This window comes from Homo sapiens, chromosome 10, assembly GCF_000001405.40.
Source record: "Homo sapiens chromosome 10, GRCh38.p14 Primary Assembly".
Classification (NCBI taxonomy): Eukaryota; Metazoa; Chordata; class Mammalia; order Primates; family Hominidae; genus Homo; species Homo sapiens.
Window position 1 is genome coordinate 62,175,692 of NC_000010.11, and position 15,184 is coordinate 62,190,875.

The following is a 15,184-nucleotide window of genomic DNA, read 5'->3' on the forward strand; positions in this document are numbered from 1 at the left end:
CTAAAAAAGAAAAAACGTGATTATCTCAATAGATGCAGAAAACGCCATTGACAAAATATAACACTATTCCTGATAAAAATTCTCAGCAATCTAGGAATGCAAGAGAATTCCTTAACCTAATAAAGAACATCTATGAAAGATCTATAGATAACATCTCACTTAGTGATGAAGAACTGGATGTTCCTGCTAAGGTCAGAAATAATACAAGAATTTCTGCTCTCACCACTTCTATTCAGCATTATAGTGGAAGTTTTAATTAGTGCAGTAAGGCAAGAAAAAGAAAAAAAATAAATTCAGATTGCAATGAAAAAAAGTAAAACTGTATTTAGAGATGACATAATCATCTATGTTAAAATCCAATGGATTCCATAAAAAACCTATTGGGACTAATAAGTGAGCTTAGCAAGGTTGCATGATACAAGATTAATATACAAATATCTACTGCATTTCTATATGTTGGCAATGAAAGAAGATATTGAATTCAAAAATATGATTTACAATAGCACCACAAAAATGAACTAGTTAGGAATAAATTTGACAAATGATGTGCAAGATCTGTACCCTAATAACTATAAAATATTTCTGAGAGAAATTAAGGAAGACTTAAACAAATGGAAAAATATCCTGTGTTCCTTGGCCAGATGACAGTTAAGATATCAGTTTTGGCTGGGAATGGTGGCTCATGCCTGTAATCCCAGTAATTTGTGAGGCTGAGGCAGGAGGATCACTTGAGCCCAGAAGTTCGAGACCAGCCTGGGCAACACAGTGAGACCCCATCACTACAAAAAACCAAAAACTTAGCTAGGCGTGGTGGTGCATGCCTGTAGTCCCAGAGACTTGGGAGGTTAAGGAGGGAGGAAAACTTGAGACCAGGAGGTCAAGGCTGCAGTGAGCTGTGATTGTGTACTGCACCCCAGCCTGGGTTACAGAGTAAGACCCTGTCACAAAAAAAGAAAAAAAAAATGTAACTTTTCCCAAATGAATCTATAGATTAAATATAATCCCAGTCAAAATGACAGCAGGAGTTTTGTAGAAATCAACAAGACAATTCTAAAATTCATATGGAAATGCAAAGAATCTCAAATAGCCAAAACAATTTTGAAAAATGATAAAGTTTTAGAAACAATAACCTGGTTTTAACACTTATCAGAAAGCTGAAGTAATTAAGACAATGTAGTATTGGTGTAAAGATAGAACAACAAATCAATGGAACAAAATAGGGAGTGTCTGAATAAAAAAATTGCTCACAAATACATGAACAATTAACTCTACAAACTCTACAACTGTAAAGGCAATTCAGTGAAGAGAAAGTAGTCTTTTAAATAAAGGGTGCTAGAGTAATTGGATATTCATATGCAAAAAAATTAATCGATATATCACACCATATACAAAATAAACTATAAAACAGATCGCAGACCAAAACTGTACAATTTTTGGAAGTAAAAAATGTATGAGAAATATCAGTGACACTGGGTTAGGCAAACACTTCTTAGACATGACAACAAAAACATGGTTCGTAAAATAATAAAATAAAAACCAAGATTCTGATAAATCTGATCTCATCAGAATTAAAAGCACTGGTCAGAGAGTGAACAAATAAGCGAAAGTCTGGGAGGAAATACTTGCAAACCACATATCTGATAAAGGACATGAATCCAAAGTACACAAGTAACTTCTGAAACATAATGAGAAGAAAAAATCTAATTTTAAATGAGCAAAAGATTTGAACAGATATATAACCAAAGAAGATATACCGATGGGAAGAATGCACATGAAAAGATGTTCTACATATTTAATCACAAGGAAAATGGAAACTGAAACCTTTAGAAGATACTACTATCTACCAATTAGAATGGCTAAAATAAAAAAGTTGGCTACCACTATACATATATAGTGAAATTTTACATAAATGGATAATGGATGGTAGGAGCCAGGTGTTTCACTGTTCCAGTGAGAGGTTACAGATGATCAAGGGGAGGGGGCTAGACTGATCTTTGTGGTCACGGTTTAGAGTTGAAGACATCAGTTTAAACTCATGTTTAGCTTAATATAGATAGAAGTATTTATAGATATGAATATATACATTCATATATACACATATATTTTCTTCTGTCTGCAGAGGCTAGAAGCAATGAAATCCCAGTAAAAATGAGCACACTAAACTACAAGATCTTGGTTTCTAATACCATTCTTGAAATAAAATAAACTAGGGCTCTTTGGAGAAATGGCTGGTTCTAGGATTGGGGGAGGAAATATACAGGAGGAGCCTGGAGTATTTTGTTTTACCAAAAAGAAAAGAAGTGCTCAAATAAAAACACATTGATGGAGGCATGTCAAAGGAACAGAGGAGCCAACTGAAAGCTCCCACCAGCCTGACATGGTGTTTGTCAGCTTCTTCTATTCTGAAGCTACTGGGTTTTTTTCCTACCTTTTCATACTGTACTCTTTGAAAGGAAGTCACCAAGTGAAGCACTGGCTTAAGAAGTGAAGTTATGCTTCACCTCCTTGATAGTAGAGAATCTGCATATTTTGAATTCTTCTTTCCTATTATTTACCTATTCAACAATTTATATCAGTATGGATAAAAAATAGTTTTTTACATTCTGTGTTATCATCCAATAATACTTTATTTTGTTGCTCAAGTGTTTCCAGCTTTGGTTATTGAGGGTATTTTTTGGAGCAACAAGATATTCCAGGCTCATCATGTGCTGTCCCTATCCCAGAACCAGAATCAGTCAAGGATCTCTGGTTCCTTTTACTGGAGAATAGTATTTAGAACCAAGATCTGGGGGCTCAGTATGTTTATGGCTACTGGTATGTCATTATTTCTAGGCCTTCTCGATGGACAGAGCTAGGATAGATATGTAAAAAAAAAAATTAGCCCATAGTGATACTTCCAACTGTAACCCAACACTACAGTGTATGTTCTAGTCTTCCCCTTTCCATACATGCAAGTTCCATTACCAACAGTAAGAAACCTGGCTTCCACTATTCTCAATATATATACTCATTTATCAAGTCTAGATTGCACAAAAGATTGTTTCAGAGTTGCTAGTCCAGTCATTGCTATGGAATACAACAATGCAGCACTTAGAGATAAGGAGTTCACTTTCTGTAACAGAGGCAGTAGAGAAAGAAAGTTAAGAGCATAGCTGTGGAGTCAGAATTTGAATCTGTCATTTTCAAAGTGTTTGACTTTGGGCAAGTTACGTTGCCCCTCAAGTATCAGTTTCCTCATCTATAAAATGGGAATAATGATGATATCGACTTCACTGGGTTGTTGTGAAGATGAAATCGTCTATTGTATGGTGGCTGCTATATTTTGGATATTTGTTCCTCCAAATCTTATGTTGAAATTTGATCCCCAATGTTGGAGGCGGGCTTAATGGGAGGTGTTTGGGTCATGGGGGTGGGTCCCTCATGAATAGATTAATGTCCTCACCCCAGGGGTGTGTGAGTGAGTTCTGGCTTTATTAGTTCCTGCCAGAGATGGTTTTTTTTTTGTTTGTTTGTTTGTTTTTTTGTTTTTTGTTTTTTTTTTGAGATGGAGTCTTGCTGTGTCGCCCAGGCTGGAGTGCAGTGGCACTATCTCCACTCACTGCTACCTCCACCTCCCGGGTTCAAGCAGTTCTCCTGCCTCAGCCTCCCGAGTAGCTGGGATTACAGGTGCATGCCACCACGCCCTACTAATTTTTGTATTTTTAGTAGAGACGGGGTTTCACCATGTTGGCCATGATGGTCTCAATCTCCTTATCTTGTGATCCACCCGCCTCAGCCTCCCAAAGTGCTGGGATTACAGGCTTGAGCCACTGTGCCCAGCCCTTCCCACCTTGCACCTCCCCCAGTCCCTTGCTTCTGCTCTTGCTATGTGATCTCTGCTCACACTGTCTCCCCTTCAACTTCTGCCATGAGTGGAAGCAGTCCGAGGCCCTCACCAGATGCAGATGCTGGCACCATGCTTCTTGTACAGTCTGCAGAATTGTAAACCAAATAAAGCCCTTTTATTTAGAAATTACCCAGCCTCAGGTATTTATTTTTTTATTTTTGTTTTGTTTTATTTTTTGAGACAGAGTCTCACTGTGTCGCCCAGGCTGGAATACAGTGGTGCCATCTCTGCTCACTGCAACCTCCCCCTCCTGGATTCAAGAGATTCTTTTGCCTCAGCCTCCTGAGTAGCTGGGATTACAGGCATATGCCAGCACACCTGGCTAATTTTTGTATTTTTAGTAGAGACGGGGTTTTCCATGTTGGCTAGGTTGGTCTTGAACCTGTGACCTCAGGTGATCCACCTGTCTCAGCCTCCCCAAAGTGCTGGGATTACAGGCGTGAGCCACCATGCCTGGCCTGTGTAGTGTATAGTAACACTACACAGACTAACAAGAGTAGCTATAGTAAGCATTCAATAAGTAAAAGCTAATTGTTGTTGTAGATGCCTTTAGGAAACTCTCTTTAAGATACTATGTAGAGTGAAAAAAGAGAGAACAAAATAGAATGAATCTTAAGGCCTCAATCATGCCTAGACATTTTCTAACTACTACCAAAGGAACTGTTAACATCAGGGTAAAATGAAACTCTTTTCCTTCTACAACTTTCTGTGTTGTATAAAATTTTACCATGCGCCTGTGTTACTTTATACTTAAAAGGACAATGATTTGGCTTATTAAAAGGTTGATTTAATGTCTCAAAAAGAAAAGGTTTGAAGACAATGTCTGTGAAACTGGTTTTCCTGAGATATATTGCCAAATGTTCTCTGCATCCTGGCCAGCCTGGGAAGCTGGCCCTGCAAGGCAGCATGCCCATGGCCACTAATTTCTCTTATTACTGCCATAGTTAGGTTCCATATCCTATTTTTTCATGGCACTGGAAAGAAACATGGATCCACTAGTAATGTTCTCTTCATTATGTTCTCTCTCTCTTTCATTCATATATTCATTCATTCAACAGATGTTTACCAAGCACCTACCTCGTTCTGAGCACTACAGCAGGCACCAGGGATGCAGCAGGCAAAAAAATAAAACAAAAACGATAAAAAATCTTTATCCTCGTGGAGCTTGCATTATAGTATAGGAATATTTCAAGAATCTATTGCTGCTTAACGAACTATTCCAAAACATAGTGTCCTCAAACAACAACCTTTATTTCATCACAATTCTATGAGTCAGGAATTCAGGGCTCAGCTTGGCAGTTCTTCTGTTCCATCTAGTATTGACTGGATCTCTTCCTTGACTCCCTTCAGCTGATGGGTGATGTTGGCACAGACGGTTCCAGAAGGCTTTAGTCACATGTCCAGAGCTTTGGTACATGGCCTCTTCTTCACCTGGCTAGTTTGGGCCCCCTTACAGCATGGTGGTCTCAGGGCATTTGTTCTTCTAATATGGCTGTGAACTTCCAAGAGGAGGCACCCCAAGGATGGAAGGCAGAAGCCCAGATTCAAGTGAGGGCAAAATAGGCTCCATTTCTTGATGGAGAATGACAATGTCACATTAGAAAACAACATGTGGGATGAAAGTTAATGTTGTAGTCATCTTTAGAAACATAATCTACCTTAGAGAGACAGACAACTAAAAAGACAAATGAGTAAAAATGAATTTTAAGGAGAAAACAAAAGCAGGAAAGGGAATACAGAGTGAGTTTGGGGATGGAGTTGCAATTTTAAGAGGGGCTAGAGAAGGACTGATTGAGAAAGTTACATTTAAATTAAGACTTGAGGCCGGGCGTGGTGGCTCACGCCTGTAATCCCAGCACTTTGGGAGGCTGAGGAGGGCGGATCACGAGGTCAGGAGATCGAGACCATCCTGGCTAACACGGTGAAACCCCGTCTCTACTAAAAATACAAAAAATCAGCCGGGCACGGTGGTGGGCGCCTGTAATCCCAGCTACTTGGGAGGCTGAGGCAAAAGAATGGCGAGAACCTGGGAGGCGGAGCTTGCAGTGAGTGGGGATACCGCCACAGCAGTCTGGCCTGGGCGAAAGAGTGAGACTTCGTCTCAAAAAAAAAAAAAAAAAAAAAAAAAAAGACTTGAATGAAGTGATGATAGTTGGTGTAAGAGCATTCCAGGAAGAGGAAACAGCAAGTGCAAGGCCCTGAGGCAAGAGCATGCCAGGCATGTTCAGGACAGCGCAAAAGCCAGTATATGTGGAACAAAGAGAGTGAAGTTTCTCTAGAGTAGCAGGAGATTAAGTCATATAGGTAATGGGGTCAGCAGACTGTGGACAGTCTTTTACTTCAGCTTTTACTCTGAATTAACTGGGGAGCATTTGAATGTTTTTTGCGCATGGAAGGTATACGACCTGACTTGTGTTTTCACAGGATCCTTCTGTCTGCTATCCTGAGTATAGACAGTAGAAAGCTATGTAGTAGTAGGGAGACCAGTTAGAAGGCTATTGTAATAATTCAGGCAACAGATGCTAGTGGCTTGAGTTAGGGTGGAAGCAATGGAGATGGTGATAAGTGGTTGGATTCTGGAGATATTTTTAACATATACTCAATAAGATTTGCTGGTGAATTAGATAGATGGTGTTTTGGATAGAGAGGAACCAAAGATGACTTAAAGGTTTTGACCTGAGCAACTGGAAGGATCGAGTTGGTGTTTACTAGATGAATAAAACTGTGAGAAGGTCAGAATTGGAACAGAATAGCAGAAGATCTTTTTAAAGTTTGAAATGACTACTATGCTTCCAAGTGCAGCAATTTAATAGGAGCTGCAACACACAAGTTAAGTCCTCACTTAACGTCATCAGTAGGTACTTGGAAACTTCAGCTTTAAGGAAACACACAATGGAACCAAATTACTGCAGGCTAATTGATATAAACAAGAGCTAAGTTCCTATGGCATATTTCTGGTCACAAAAACATCACCAAACTTCTAAAGAGTAAAACACTTCTAATATTAAACACTGAAATAAATGCGAACTATATATACTTTTAAGAAAGATTAATAAAAACAAGATAATTATTACCCAATTATTCCAGATGAGGGTTGAGGGTGGCCAGAGTCCACCCCAGCAGCTCAGGGTGCAAAGCGGAAGCCACCCTGGCCAGGACGCCATACCCTAGCAGGGGGCACCTCACACACACACCCACACAGGCTGGGACAATGTAGACACACCAATTCACCTGACATGCACATCTTTGGGATGTGGGAGGAAACCAGAATACCCAGAGAAAACCCACACAGACATGGGGAGAACATGGGAACTCCACACAGACAGGGGCCCCGGGCAGAAATCAATTTTTTTCCAATCAACAGTATAATGAAATGACACTGAATGGAATGATGTTATTTGAGGACCAACTGTCATTGCGTGTATGTATACATGTACACATTTTTATTTTACTTTTTATTAAGTCTTTATTATGTTATTATTTATTTATTTCAATAGGTTTTTGGGGGACCACATGGTGTTTGGTTACATGAGTAAGTTCTTTAGTGGTGATTTCTGAGATTTTGGTGCACCCATCACCCACATGCACACATTTCTAAATGCATAAAAAATTTTTGGAAATATACATTAAAAATTATTAACAGTGGTTACCTCTGGGTAATAGGAATCTTTGGAAACTGGCACTGGAATGTTAGAGGAGGAAGTAATATATGTTTTTGTTTTTTGATACCTTTCTGTATCATGTATGTACGTATATATGTATTACTATGTTCTATGTTACTTTTATGATTAAAAATTACTTAAAATTCTTGTGGTTGGTGAAATGAACCAAGTCACTGCAAACAGAAGTCTTACTAGGAAAGTCCACATTGGATCAGGGGTTTATAAGGTCCTTTCAAGCTCTGACATTGATTTCTGCAACTGGGTGTTAACTGGTAAGTCTCCCCGTCATTTCCTCCATAGGCTTCTGTGAAATTTGGTGTGTGAACAGCCTCTCTAATTCATCTGCTTCATCTTGAAAACAGTACCAAGAGCTCTCGGTGCTTAAATACCTCACAGGAAATTTGAGGTTGGATGAGATAAGGTGTTCAAATACTTTGAGTTACCACAAACACAGGTGCTCATGTAGGCACAATATTATGAGTCCTGGAATATTAACAGACCTAGTAAAAAGAAGCTGTTTCTGCCTTTTGATCACATAGGCATTTTGATACTCATGAACTCCATTTAGTCTGCGGTGGAATGAGTGTTTCTCCACAAACAGTATTAATTTTAGCATTTTTGTTCATGCCTTCTGTCAAACAAGATTTCTTCAGCCTTTGATTTTTATCAAGATTCACTTTATTCTTCAAAGCATTTAATTCAAGGTTCACTCCATCAGTGGGTGGATTAGTTGAGTAACTGAAATACCAGTGTTGAATGCCATAGTAGTTATAATATTTCTCTTCACAGGAGATATATTTACCAAAGTCATGTACTAATGAACAATGAAGTGACTGTCCAAATAGCAGACACCTGGTAAACACTGAATGGAAAATAAACATGGACAGCTCTACAAAATGTTTACTCAATGACTCTTAAATATTCTTCTAAGGTCACTATTATGTGTCAGGTGCCGTACTGGGTGCTAGGAATACAGGAAGGAGACGCGTTGTCTTTTCCCTCATGAAGCTTACATTCTACTAGAGAAATGTCACATTGTATTTTAAATTTTTCACACTGGTTCTAATGAAGTATTTGAGAAGCTATGTGAAGAGGAATTTGGAAGTTGCTGGCAGTTTCTGGAGATTATGTAGTTGATTACTATTATTCTGAAAAACAAAAAAAATCACCTTTAGTCACCCACAGAGGTAAAGAGAAAACCAGAAAGTCACCACCAATCAGAATCACAAAAGGCAGTCAGTGGAAAAGATTGCAAGTTTCAGGAAAAATGAGTTGTCTTAATATGTAAAAAAGCCTTTCTTAGAACTGGAACTTACAAGAAATGGGCTGAAAATTCTAAAAGCAAACAACCTTAAAGAATAATGTCAAACAGAGGCTGGATATTCATGAATATGATTGGTTGGGAGCATGGCTTCCGCCTACAGAAAGAGGTTGAAGTAGATTACCTCTGAGGAGCCTTCCTAGTCTAATTGAATAAGTACTGCAGTTATGAAATTATATTTTCTCTAGAGAACCCTTTCTCAACAACCAAATAACCCAAGTCGCTAATATTCTATTTATATTTTATAATTTCTTAACCAAGATCTCAAATAAGAACTAAGTAAAGAAAAAAACAGGCCTTGTTAGTTACTGAAGAGTAAATAGAAGTATAGTTTTCACTAGACAGTCTTGCCTGAAGCTCAATTAGAAATCTTACCATTCACTGGTAAAACATCTGCCAAAGTTAACAGGTAAACCACTAATTGGTAAGCGGTCACTCCAGGGCCCCTGCCATCATCACCATCCCCAACTCCCAGGAAATCTTGCAAAAAATTTTCCCATTGTTCTGCCTCCCTTTTCTAACTAATTTGCCAGCCAAATTTCTGTTTTCAGTACTAACTTTAGATGACTCTCCTCTCATGACAGCTTGACTTGTCACTCCTTATTTCTATAATCTATCAAAAATAGGACCTCCACAGTTAAAAAAAAAAAAACCCTCATAATTTGTATGGCAGATCCTCCAAGTTGACTGGTACTCAGGCACCAAGTCAGTCCCAAACTAAGGAATATTGATTGCATCAGTTCTTCCAGCTTTGATTCAAAGATTGCTTTTGGCAGGCTGGGCACGGTGGCTCAGGCCTGTAATCCCAGTGCTTTGGGTGGCCGAAGTGGGCAGATCATGAGGTCAGGAGTTCGAGACCAGCCTGGCCAAGTTGGTGAAACCCCGTCTCTACTAAAAATACAAAAATTAGCTGGGTGTGGTGGCGGGCACCTGTAATCCCAGCTACTCAGGAGGCTGAGGCAGGAGAACCGCTTGAACCCGGGAGGTGGAGGTTGCAGTAGTGAATGGAGATCGTGCCACTGCACTCCAGCCTGGCAACAGAGCAAGACTCCGTCTCAAAAAAAAAAGATTGCTTTTAGCAAAGACATTGACTCAGTTTCAAATCATGGTGAGACATCAAAGGAAAAAATTCTTGGTTTGGTTCCTTTAGGAAGAGACCCGGTTAACCTGACATCTGAATTCATGGCACAGTTACATGTGACTGCTGACTCCTCACCTTGCAGCCACCCCAATTTGGGGAGTCTCCAAAACAGTATATCAGGTGCTTCTTGTGCCCAGAACAACCTCTGGGGTTGGGATAATAGTAATAGCCACAGTAGCTAACATGTATTGATTATTTGCTGTTTTCTTGGAATTTTACGGTTTTATATATAACCTCTTATTGAATTCTTGCAGTGGTCCTATGATTACCATTTTACAGGGCCTGGGCCTTAGAAGAGTTAAGTTGAACTGCCAAAGGCCAGTCGGTGAAAGTAGCAAGGCTAGGATTTGAACCCAGGACAGTGTGCTTTCAGCACTGCAATGGCTGGAGACTGTATGGTGTGGGCCGTGGGAGGGAGCTGGGCTATCGTGCCTTTGCCTTTGTTTGCTCCATGCCTTGGCTCCCCTGCCCTGGAGCTCTCAGTCTTGCATATTCTTAACGTATATGCTTTCATTTCATCTTGTTTTGTTTTACATTAGGGGCATTTTTTACAATTCAGCTAATGTTTCTACTTAATGCATTCAGAGAGTGAGAAGTTCCAAAAAAGTTTCCTTTCTGTATATGTAGTTAGGTTTTGCTAAAGAAAGGTGAGTTAAACTGGTGATTTACTAAAAATAAGATTGATGAGGGAACCTTATCTCGTTTTGAAGATGACAAATATGGAGACTTTTCAACCACGGAGGAAGACAGAACGCAGTAGCGGAATGAAAAGGAGATTAAAGCAATAAGGAAAGTAGCTTTCTGCCCCTTGACAGAAGACGTGTGTCCTATAGAGAAGCTTCTCAGAGTGCTGGGGTGGGGGTGGGGTAGAGGCATGGTGGGAGGCCAAGTGCTCCTCAACCCCTTCCCGCTCTCAAGTAGTTCCACTTGGCTCTGTCTTATGTATTAAAAGTCTACATAAACTATTGTTTGGAAATACAATTCTGCTGCTAAAAGTATGACATTGTACAATGGTTATTTTACTGCTGGTTACTGGTCAGAAAAACATTTTTTTTTTCTGACACTGGAACTAAACCCTATGAATAAATCCAACTAATTTCATCCTCCATCCTCAGATGCCCAGGCAACTAGCAGAGTCCTGTATATGATGAGGACTAGCAATAAGTTGGTTGAGTACATTTTTCCCAAAATATTTTATTAATAGTACAAGTTATTGATTGCGTCCCAGGAAGTTTATGGCAAAAAAATTAAACATACTATTTTCACTGGTGTTGATAAGACTTGTGGTTCATTTAGTCCAAAGCTTTCTGGGTTCTCCACCCTAAGCATTTTATTTTAGTAATTGATCTGGGTTGAAATCGGTCTAAAGTGGAATTATTATCTCCAAATTATTCCAAAGTTTTACTAAACTTAATTTCTTGGGCTGCTTTGCTGCCTAATACAACAAAGATGTTGAAGTATACCAGGCACACTATTCTGATTTCCCAGATAACCTTTGAGTGACTGATTCAGAGATGACGGCAGCTTTGTTCTTGTAAGTGACTATTTAAGGAACACTTTTGGCATCACAAATCACAAAAAAAAAAAAAAGAAAAAACATAGGGAAAAAGTTCAGTTGAATAGTCCTCAGAGGGAAGCAGAAATCAGGGACTCCATTCAAAGTCCTTGGACACATGTAAATGAGGTTTGCCTGAAGCCCCTAAAGTTTCCTCCCTTCAATCTGTTCACCCCTCTGTGTCACCCTTCAGAGCCCTCAGGCCTCTCCTTTCCTTTTGTGTACTGAAGAGAATTACACACATTCAGTCACCTTAAGATGTCACAGGTGGATGCAATTTAATGTGTCACCCTCCCCTTGCAAAAGAGCTGCTAGGCAAGAAAAATCAAGTCAATAGTGTCACATTAGTGACCTGGATATATGTGAACCACTTTTTTTTCCTTTTTAGAAATTTTTAAATCAAGTCAGGTGAGGTGTGATTCTCTCAGCATACTTATATTGACAAAGCATGCCTAAAAAACTGGCCTGTGCCCTCGGTGAACTTAACGTGTAGTGGTGGCATTTACAGGCTGCTTTTCTTCTTCTAGATACAATTTATGAGGATGCTCCCCAATACTATCTGTAGCTATCCCTGCCCCAACTACTCAGAGAGAATCTGTCAGAGATGTGATCTGAATCCACTAAAGCCCATATGGCAAATTTCTTCAGCATACCAGAAAAAAAGCAAACTTTAGACTGACATTCAAGGCCATCCATGATCTGACCACATCTGCCTTATTAACCTTATTTCTCAGTAATCCCTAACCATATACAAATGAAACAGTTTCAAGTTTTTAGGTAGACCCTATATTTTCATGCTTTTTAAGGTATCAATTACAATGGAAACAACCCCAAAACTTAGTGGTTAAAACAATATGCATTCATTTTCCTATTATCAGTTACTACAGGTCAAGAATTTAGGAGCGGCTTAGCCATGCGTTTCTGGCTTGGAATTTCTCAGAAGGTCGCAGTCATGCCTAGACTTGAGGGTCTGCTGTCAAGGTGTCTCACTAGTAAGTTGGGGCTGGTTATTGGTGAGAGGCCTCAGTTTCTTTCCACATGGATCTCTCCCGGGACTGTCTGAGTATAGCTACTGTCTTCCCCCTAAGTGAGTGATCCAAGAGAGGGAAACAGCAAGGGTGTGCTATCTTCTTATGACCTAGCCTCATGTGTCACAGAGTATCACTTCCATTATATTCTCTGAGTTAGAAATGAATCACTAAGTCCAGCCCACAATCAATAGGAGGAGAACTAAGCTCCACCTTTGAAGGGAAGAGTGTCAGAGAGTTCGTGAACGTATTCTAAATCACCATCCTGCTCTCACCCCTTTGCTCATTCTGTTCCTGCTGCTCAGAATGCTTTTTCCCATATCCGCGGAGCCCAATCAATCTTACGTCTTTCGAGACCCAGTTCAACTGTTACTTCCTCCAAAAATCCTTCCCAAATGTCTCCTAAGAGCTTTCCTTTCTTTTCATTCCCACTATATTTTCTATATATATATTTAAATTTTTTAAATTTTTTTATTTTTTTGAGACTGAGTCTCCCTCTGTCGCCCAGGCTGGAGTGCAGTGACGCGATCTTGGCTCACTGCAAGCTCCGCCTCCCGGGTTCACACCATTCTCTTGCCTCAGCCTCCTGAGTAGCTGGGACTACAGGCGCTTGCCACCACGCCTGGCTAATTTTTTGTATTTTTAGTAGAGACGGGGGATTCACCATGCTAGCCAGGATGATCTCGATCTCCTGACCTTGTGATCCGCCCACGTCGGCCTCCCAAAGTGCTGGGATTACAGGCGTGAGCCACTGCGCCCGGCCATATTTCCTACTTTTTTTTTTTTTTTTTTAACTACACTTGTTATTTTAGATGGTAATTATTTGGTATTCCAAGCCAGGGTTTGTCAACTCTGGCATTACCAATGCTTTGGGCTAGATAATTATTTGTTGTGGGGATCTTGTCCTGTGTATTACAGGATGTTTAGCAGCATCCCTGCTCTCTTCCCACCAAACACAAGCAGCAACTTCTGCCCCTAGTTGCAACGATAAAAAATGTCCTCAGACATAGTCAAATGTTTTGTAGTGGGCAAAAAAAATCACCCCTGGTTGAGATCATAGTTCTAGGCAATTATGTTCTGTGATTCATTTTGAATGTCCAACTCATGACTCTGAAAGGCCATTCTAACAAGCTAGGAGAGGAACAGACTGTATTCTTTCAATCTTGATGTTGCTGAGGACCCCTGAGTTTTCCTGTCAACCTTTCCTAGGCATTCTTCAGTCTTCTGAGTGATTCCAATAGCCTATCAATAAATTCACCCACCAGGTGCAGTGGCAAACGTCTGTAATCCCAGCACTTTGGAAGGCTGAGGCGGGCAGATCACCTGAGGTCAGGAGTTCAAGACCAGCCTGGCTAACATGGTGAAACCCCATCTCTACTAAAAATACAAAAATTAGCTGGGCATGGAGGCACATGCCTGTTGTCCCAGCTACTCGGGAGGCTGAGGGAGGAGAATGGCTTGAACCTGGCTTGAAGGGGAGGTTGCAGTGAGCCAAGATCACGCCACTGTAGTCCAGGCTGGGCAACAGAGATTTTTTTTTTTTCTTAAAATAAATAAATTCACCCACCTTTTTTTTTTTCTTCATTTTCAGCTTAAGTTAGTTTCTGTTGCCTTCTACCTAAAGAAATGTAATTAATGAAAACCAACTCATACTTCAAGGTCTGGTTCAAATACCACTTCTTCTAGTTGTCCCAGATGTCTCTGGATAGAATTTATCTTTTCCTCTCATTCATATTTTTTTTAGTGCTTTCTGCAGCCTGACAGTGGAGTCTATCTAGGTTTACATATGCTCAAATGTTCCTTCAACCCAGGGCCAAGCATTATGCACAGAATAATATAGGCTGGATCTAATTGCGAAGGAAATGGATTTTCATTTAGGGCTTTAATGCAAAGGAATACATCAAGTGACCACATTATTGGGGAAAAAAGAGTTTGGAGGCTAGTCTGGCAAACCTTGGTCTCAATGCTTTTTTGCTATTTCACGTTTATCAGAGGCTGTTGGTATACTGAGGATGAGAGCACTTTCTTCAATAACTGATTAGGTTCAAATCCTGTCTCCACTTACTGGGAGACTGTGAGCAAGTTACTTAATTGTTTTGTGCCTCCAATTACTAATCTGTAAAATGGGGATTGTTAAAATACTACCTCATGGGGTTAAAACATAAAACAGATAAACTTAGAGCTGCTTTGGCCGAATTAGGAGAGATCCAGAGACTCCCTCGCCTGGCATCACCCTACTGGTTGCCACCTCCAAAGGCATCAACTCAGGGACTTAGGGCTGTCTAGATCAATTTGAGACAAACACCAGTAGCCATCCCAGTTGTTAACTAGCCATGTTGTCTAGAACAAAGTATTTACTCACCTGTTTAATGTTAATAAGGAAGTTGAACAGGTGAGTAAATACCTTGTCCAAGACAACGTGGCTAGTTAATGGTAGCCAGGGGCTGAGTGCTCATTCTCCTAACTCCGTCAGCTCTAGTTCTGATGCCAACTATTCCAGCTTAACCCGTCTTACTTTCTTGAACTAGCATTCAAGGTCCTTTATGTGGTCCAGCATATCCCATCTCTCACCTACTGCCACATTTGCTTCA

The 15,184-nt window shown here is 40.1% G+C and overlaps 1 protein-coding gene across 4 annotated transcripts in view, besides 1 other annotated feature; it reads right to left on the bottom strand.

Annotated features, from left to right (window-relative positions):
• Window positions 4,794-4,963: an enhancer, noted in NCBI's record as "experimental_13605 CRE fragment used in MPRA reporter constructs". NCBI's record gives its function as "activates a minimal promoter by MPRAs in K562 erythroleukemia cells, with activity observed for the introgressed 10:63940329 variant allele {active_cell/tissue: K562}" and the evidence as "EXISTENCE:reporter gene assay evidence [ECO:0000049][PMID:34662402]".
• RTKN2 (rhotekin 2) overlaps window positions 8,209-15,184 on the bottom strand; it is an 84,945-nt gene continuing 77,969 nt past the window's right edge. For 2 of the 4 annotated variants that reach the window (XM_017015844.3, XM_011539457.4), the window contains one exon: window positions 8,209-8,696. In XM_017015844.3, the coding sequence (XP_016871333.1) occupies window positions 8,631-8,696 (66 nt within the window). In that variant the 3' untranslated portion in view covers window positions 8,209-8,630. Of the gene's footprint in view, window positions 8,697-14,160; window positions 14,212-15,184 lie in introns of those variants that run through there. The other 2 variants (XM_047424717.1, XM_011539460.3) reach the window with 1 other exon arrangement.